The following is an 8055-nucleotide window of genomic DNA, read 5'->3' as shown; positions in this document are numbered from 1 at the left end:
AACTCAAGAAGACACAATTACTATATTAGAAATAAAAACAAAATTCTAACTTCTCATTTCAGATACATCCAAAGAATAATAAAGAAATATTTAGAATAACTCCATGCCCATATGAATAACTCTGTGCCCATACGCACTAGTTTCTTGAATATACTAACTACAAAATCTCACACATGGAATGAATAGATTTTAATAGGCCTATATTTACTAACTACATCAAATAAGTAATTGATAACACTTCAAAAAAGAAAGCATCCAGCCCAGATGATTTCAATTTGTGGAATAAATGGTACAAATTCTCTACAATAGAAGCAAAGAAGACATTTCTGTTATGGGCTGAATTGTGCTCTCCTCAGCAATAAAAATCCTGCGTTGAAGTCCAAACCCCTAGCACCCCAGATTGGGACTGTATTTGGAGACAAGACTTTTAAAGTTATGATTTAAAAAAAAATGCCTTTAGCGATGGCCACAATTCTATTGGCTGGTGTCCTGATAAGAAGAAGAAATTTGGAGACACTAGGCATGTATGGGCACAGAGGAAAGACCATGTGAAAACACAGAGAGAAGGCAACCATCTTCAAGTCAAAGAGAGAGGCTTCAGAAGAAAGCCAACCTGCTGAAACATCTTGAAATTCTAGTTTCTAGAATCGTGAAAAATAACTGTGTTATTTAAGCCACCCAGTCTGCGGTATTTTGTTATGTCAATCCTTGCAAACTAATACAACTTCACAACTCATTCTATTAAACCAACATTACTCTAATACTCAAACCAGATAATGACATTATAAGAAAAGAAAACTATAGGTCAATGCTTTTCATGAACATAAATGTAAAAATTCTCAATAAAATATCAGCAGGTCAAGTCCAAAAACGTGTAACAATAATTCTACACCAGAACAAAGTGGGATTTATTCCAAGTATACAAGGCTAGTTCAATGCTTAAAACAATCAATTAATGTAAACTACCAAATCAACAGACTAAAGAAGAAAAAAATCATGCAATTATATCAATTAATGCAAAAAAAGGATTTGATGAAATCCAACACTCATTTTTCGGTAAAAAAAAAAATCTCAGCAAACTAAAAATAGAGAAGAAATTCTTTAACTTGATAAAGAAAATTTACAGTAATCTGTAGCTAACATCATACTTAACTGTGAGAAATTGGATTTTGCCCCTTAATGTAGGGAACAAGGCAAGAATGCCTTGTGTTACCATTGTATCAGATGTCTTAACTAGTGCAATAATGCAAGATAAGAAAATAGATTAGACAGATTGGAAGGGAAAAAATAAAACTCTTTGTTCTCTGATAATATGACTATCTAGAGAAAAACTAAAAGAATTGACAAAAAGTCTCCTTAAACTAAAAAGTAATTGTAGCTAAGTTGCAGGATAAAATCTTAACATACAAAAGTTAATTGTTTATATAGCAGCAATGATCAACTGTAATTTAAATTTCAAATGCAATGGCTATTAGGATATAAGAATAACTACACATATAAGTGTGTGGAGAAGAGGGTTTGAGATTGTATTGTTAAAGTATGGGGCATAGGTTTTCTTGTTTCATCAAAATGCAGCCAAAAGAAATAGATGGTTTATTCATTTGTTTATCTATTCACTTAATAATTACTGAACTCTTATCAGGCTTAGCCAGTGAAGTAATACAAAGTTGAAAAAAAATATGTAATTCTTTTCTTCAGGGAAATTCTAACCTGCAAGGAATTATAGAATAAATATTAGATCTAAAACATTCAAAGTAACAAACATGTTTTAAAATGCATTAAAACAAAATGCTGAAGAGGTTAGAGGAAGAAAAGAGCTTATGACTGCATGGTGAAATTAAAAATGATGACATTGGAGCTGGACCTCAGAGTACGTGTAGGCTTTCAATGTTTGGGAATGGTGAAAAAATACATCAGTGCAGAGAGAATGGCATAAGCTCTTTACCCATATTATGTCATTTAATCTTTAAAATTATACATTAACTAATCATTAACTTATTAACTTATGAATTAACATATTCACTAACTTGCCAAAGGTCATCCAATTAAGAAATGACAAAAGCAACATTTGGTCTTAGTTTTTAAAATTAACTTTGATAGGAAAAATTAAAAGGAAAAGCAAAAACAATTAAAACAAGAGAAGCTGGATTGCATCATATCTCACCAAGAAGATTTAACATTCTGAATTTTCCTTCATAGGAATATTGATATCTTATTGAAGTGAAGTGCTGAAAATTATGCTTCAGAAAGATTAATATTGGTGAAGGATCCATTAAAAATGGATTTAAGAACATGTACTGTGCTTCCCAATGAGACCCCTGGAAAGATACAGAAGGCACACCTGGGAGAGAACAATAAAAAGGCAAAGCCTTTAGGGGAGCTGTGTTTTGGGGTGCAGGACTCAGCCAACCTATGACAACCTCAGAGTGAACTTGAGAAATAAACATCCAGTGTTGTTCAACTTCTTCTCTCAGATCTCTTGTCCCATTTTATGGCAGGAACTAAAACAGAATTATTTAAACAGAATTTAAAGGGCAAACCAACCCAGTATGTTTTCCACAGAGGTCCGCTTCATGGTCTAGAAAGCGACTTCAGAAGGAGAATGGGTGAATTCAGAGAAGTAAGCAAAAATATCCAGCTTGCCACATATGAATATATTTCAGTTGTCCAAATAAAAACAAAACCATAATTGTTGAAAAGACATTAGAACTAGATTTAAATAATTAGTGTAAGAAATAATGTATAGTCCTCAATACTTGAATATAATATAAAATTTGAGGTGAAAAGGAGATAAAATATAGGGTTAATACTAAAGTCTTAAGACGAAGTGATTTAAATATCACAATGTTTTTAAGCAATTTCAAAAAATGAAAGTTTAAATGGTGAGGATTCAGGGTAAAATGACATCCACTGCACTCCATGTCCTCTGACTTCGCTTAATTAACTGATCTTTTGTTTTGCTTTGATGGCTACTTTGCATGGATATATTTTGTGATAAATTTATTCAAATTATTTGAGGAAAAATAGAGGATAAAATAAATGAAAACATAATTATAATAAATTAACTCAGATTGAGATTTCCAAGGGACATTTATTTGGACATGCAGGATTTAAGAATGGAAGAAATACAATAATTAGCTAATTAGGTTTGAGAGTCACTGTCACAGAGGTAGCAGAAGTTCTGAATATAGTTAAAAATATAGCAGAAGTTCTGAATGTATAAAGTGGAAGTTTTTAATCATTTCAGAATCACCAATCCTCTTGAAAATTATGTCCCAAATTTCCACAAAATGCAATATACACATGAGCATAATATGCTGCAATTTAGCTCAAGGAGCTCAAAAACTTCATAAAGTCTATATGAAAGCCCACTCAATCCTAAAAAAGAGAATTAAATCATGTAATTTGTGGCAATATGGATGGAACTGGAGGCCATTATCTTAAGTGAAACAAGTCAGGCAAAGAAAGTCGAATATTACATGTTCTAACTTATAAATGGGAGCTAAATAATGTATACACATGGGCATGAACATGGAGTGTGGAATGATAGACAACGGAGATTTAGAATCATGAAGGAGTAGAAGAGGGGTGGATGAGGAGAGATTTCTTAATGAGTACAATATATAGTATTTGGGTGATGGATACCCTAAAAACCCTGACTTTACCGCTACAGAATCTATGCATGTAACAATATCATATTTATACCCCATAAATGTATACAATTAAAAAATTTGCAGAAACAATTGCTTTAAAATGAACTCAAATTATATAAAGTTATGATTAAGTAAATTCTATTTTTAAAAAGAAAGCCCACAACCCCTATTTTAAGAACCCTGGTTTAGTGTGACACCACGGAGGACCAGGACTGAAGTATACTAGCATATTTTAAATGTTCAGTAAATTTCTGTAAATGAATGAATGAACAATGTGATTAAGTTTCTAACTTCAGTAGGGCAGTCTCTCTACAGCTCAAGGATAGAAAGACCCAGCTCATATCTCTACTGCACTAACTTATAATATCAGAGTCTCTTTGTTGCCTAGGCAAACAGATGATCAGAAGTATAAAGAAGAAAGTCAAACTCTTTATTTTTTAAAATATAGGAATTCTAAATTATTAGGTAACAAAATACAAAGCCTTTTACTTCATAAAGTAGAAATGAGCACAGCAGGCCAAATATTCTAACAGGTGCATTTACAACTGGATTTTTAAATTTAGGTTTTATTGCTTCCCCTTAAAGTAACTATAATGCATTTTGAAACATATTCATAGATGCGTAACTGAAACTATGAGATAGTGTGGCTGAGAACTGAGTGAGGACTTAAAACTGTAGCTAAAAGAATTTAAATAGAGAAAACATAAGGTAAAAAGATTTTAAAATCATGGAGAGTAGAATAAATACATAATGAATCACCAGACTTGATAAATTAGAACTAGGAGGCTATCTAGAAGTTTAATATAGACTTCATGCCAAACATAATTTTATATCAATTTACAATGCTAAACAGAGAATTAATTACTAGAATAGGTGGTGATATGGTTAGGCTTTGTGTCCCACCCAAATCTCATCTTGAATTGTGATCCTCATAACCCCGTAATCCCCATGTGTCAAAGGACAGACTAGGTAGAGGTTATTGAGTTATGGGGGTGGCTTCCCCATGCTATTATCATAATAGTTTGTTCTCATGAGATCAGATGGTTTTATAAGGGGCTCTTACCCACTTTGCTTGGCATTTCTCCTTCGGGCCGCCTTGTGAAGAAAGTGCTTGCTTCCCCTTTGCCTTCGCCATGATCGTAAGTTTCCTGAGTCCTCCCCAACCATGCTGAACCATGAGTCAATTAAATCTCTTTCCTTTATAAATTACTCAGCCTTAGTTTTTTATAGCAGTATGAAAATGGACTCATACAGGTGGTAAAGTCTGAAAGTAATAAAAAGTTTAAGAAGGGCCTTGCATGTATGTATAGATGATAAGGCATTATAAAAGAGTAGAGAATCAGCTATTTATTTTGGGGAGTGAATTTGTAACCCAAATCACATGAATTTAGAAATTTTGTGAGAAATTATGTTTATCAGCATACTATCTCCTGCATTCAAAATTTAAAATAGTGTGGAAAATTACATGGCCATCTCACCCATACTACCTTTCTTGTGTTATTTTATAACACTATAACTTTACAACATGAAGACAGTATTAGTGGTAACTGATAGCAAATGCCTTTAGGTGAGGTGACAGGATTCTAATCAAATTAAAGTCACCTATCTTTGCTGCTAAGGATACAATGTTAAACAATTACTTTTAATGTGAGTAGTTTTCCCATCTCACATTAAAAGTAATTTCCCATCTGCTTACTACTAATACCTTTATATCTATATTTAGGCATTGGTGAATACCTTTAAACCTCTGTAGATAAAATGATATAGAAGCAAAGAAATCTGGCTGAATTGTTTCCCCCTGTCGGTAAAATTGCCAGAAGCTCTGCTCAGTATCTCATCCTTACAGCCAGAGTTAGCATTCATTTTTGGCAATTTCATAAATTTTTACATTTCTTGGGTTCTCTTCTTCTCCAGTTCTTTGCTCTTTACATTACCATTTTCTTAGGAGCTTTCTGTCCAAAAGATTTTTTTGTTTTTGTTTTTGTTTTAATTCAGTACCACAATCCCTGTTGTTCTCAACAGGAGAGATGGTCTGTAGAAATCTGGTCAACTATTACTAGAAACCTTCATTTGTTTTTTGAAATTTCCTAACTTGTAGACACTTCATCAATGTGTTTATGAGGCAGTTGTCTTTTTATCTTACTCTACAATTCTCCTGTCTCACAAGAACTTGTGTGTTTTGGGGCTGTCATAGGCTTACCAGTCCAACTTAGTTTTCCTGTAATTTTTTTTTGTTTTTGTAAAGAAAAGGTCTCACTATGTTACCAAGGCTGGTCTTGAACCCCTAGGCTCAAGTGATCTTCCTGCCTTGGACTCCCAAAGTGCTAGAATTATAGGCATAAGCCACCACGTCTAGCCCCATAGTGGTTTCTAAAGGAAACAAACACTGTTTAAATGTATCTACGTATTTTAGAAATGGCTGATTTAATTGATTTTCTAGGTTCTGAAAATAGAGTTGTGAACAAGCTACCTTCAGGTAACTTACATTATAGTGGAAGGAAACAAGTCATAAATACATAGGCAAAAGATTATATGATATAATGAAATATGTTGATAAATGTTATGAAAAACAAAAAACTGTCTTGCTCCAATCTTGATATATTACTAGAAAAAAGTGGCTAGTGATGACAAAGCACAGCAATTGTACAAGCTACTATGAAGTAAAGTAACTGCAGAATTCTTTCTGCAAAGTGATTACCTTCATATTGGAGTAAATATGCTCTGTGAAAAGAACAAAGAGTTTTTATGTTAGAGAGTAACATAGAAACTTCAGGTGTGGATTTCTTAAAAATAATCTGGTTTTAGATCTTCAATTGCTATAAGTAGTTTTCTTGCCTGCATATGCTTCCTTACTTTCCTCAATCCCTTACTTCCATCTATCTTAGAATTCAGAAACGAGAAGGGACGTGTCTTGGAAGGAGAAAAAGATGAAGTTATACCTTTTCAGCAAATCTAATTCAGTTGATAGTTTTGACACTGAGGACTGACTTTACCATTTAGGTTATATTGTATACATTTTTCATAAACTGAATGATCTAAATCTTATCTCCAAGGGTTTGATAAATGTATATTTAGAGCGTATATGTAATAAACAATATGCTGGAAAATTTGTCCATTGAACATATTTAATATTTTAGATAGCAACTTCTAATTGTACAGGGTGATAAACATGTTTCTGATAAATATATACTAGCAAAAATATTCAAAGAACACTGTCATTGAGCATGGTTAGTAAGATTAGTAATATTAGATATAAACTTCATTTTTAAGAAGGGCTATTTGCTTAACTATGAATATGGTCCCATCTCCTTTCTGGGAAAGATGATATTAGTGTTTTAGTATTAGAATTTGAAATGCTTTGTTTAAATGCTTAAGTAAACTTTGTTAGAGAAATGAAATAGCCAAATAAACAAAGTTGATTTTTTGTGTTTCTCTGTTGGCTGTTTCTGATTACTCCAATGAGGATACATTTTCAACAACTTGGCATGAGAAGCCCTTACTGGCCATTTCAGATTCTTTAAGAACAATAACAAAAGATGGTTTGTTGCTCTTGGTTTTTCTCAAAAACATGTGAAAAGTACATTCACATATTTCAATGTCATTTACAGCCTTTTTGATTTATTCTCTTCGGTGGATGCAGTGGTGCATTACCCAAATTACCTCACTGCCTCTGAGAACTGAAACACTCATTTCCCAGGGGCTAACAGATTACAGCTGAGACCCCCAATCCCATTGTCCTGAGCTAAAGAGAGCTGCCTTATCCAAGTAAATTTCCCAAGGTCAAGTTCAATAAATGGTCCATACTCAATTCTGAACAATTTTGAAGTGTCATCTCAGATCCGGAGTTTCCTGTGGTGTTGCCTAAGGCCTTCCTTGAGGCTACATCTATAACTCCTCTGCTCAATTCTTCTTCTGTTTCTTTTAGTCTTGCATGGAATTCATCTCTAGAGCACTCCCAAATAAACATCCTGCACAGCTCTAGTGTAGAATATGCTTCAAGGTAGCCTTACCCATAACAGTTGCCTTATTCATATCCAGTTAATTATAAAAATTTGTCTATCATCTATACCGCTCTTTTTTTATTATTATACTTTAAGTTTTAGGGTACATGTGCACAACGTGCAGGTTAGTTACATATGTATACATGCGCCATAATTTGCTCCACCTTTTCCACCATCAGTGCTACAAACTTATAGCAGACCATTATGTTTCTTTCTTTTTTTCTTTTTTTGAGATGGAGTCTTGCTGTGACACCCAGGGTGGAGTGCAATGGCGTGATCTCAGCTCACTGCAACCTCTGCCTCCAGGGTTTAAGCGATTCTCCTGCCCCAGCCTCCTGAGTAGCTGGGACTACAGGCATGCACCACCACCCCTGGCTAATTTTTGTATTTTTAGTAGAGAT

General features: G+C 33.6%; 1 annotated feature.

Moving 5' to 3' along the window:
* Positions 1522 to 1691: an enhancer, noted in NCBI's record as "experimental_34015 CRE fragment used in MPRA reporter constructs". NCBI's record gives its function as "activates a minimal promoter by MPRAs in K562 erythroleukemia cells, with activity observed for the introgressed 14:44309071 variant allele {active_cell/tissue: K562}" and the evidence as "EXISTENCE:reporter gene assay evidence [ECO:0000049][PMID:34662402]".

This window comes from Homo sapiens, chromosome 14 (genome assembly GCF_000001405.40).
Source record: "Homo sapiens chromosome 14, GRCh38.p14 Primary Assembly".
Taxonomy (NCBI): domain Eukaryota; kingdom Metazoa; phylum Chordata; class Mammalia; order Primates; family Hominidae; genus Homo; species Homo sapiens.
The sequence above is the reverse complement of the archived record's forward strand: the minus strand, read 5'-3'. Positions and strand labels throughout refer to the sequence as shown.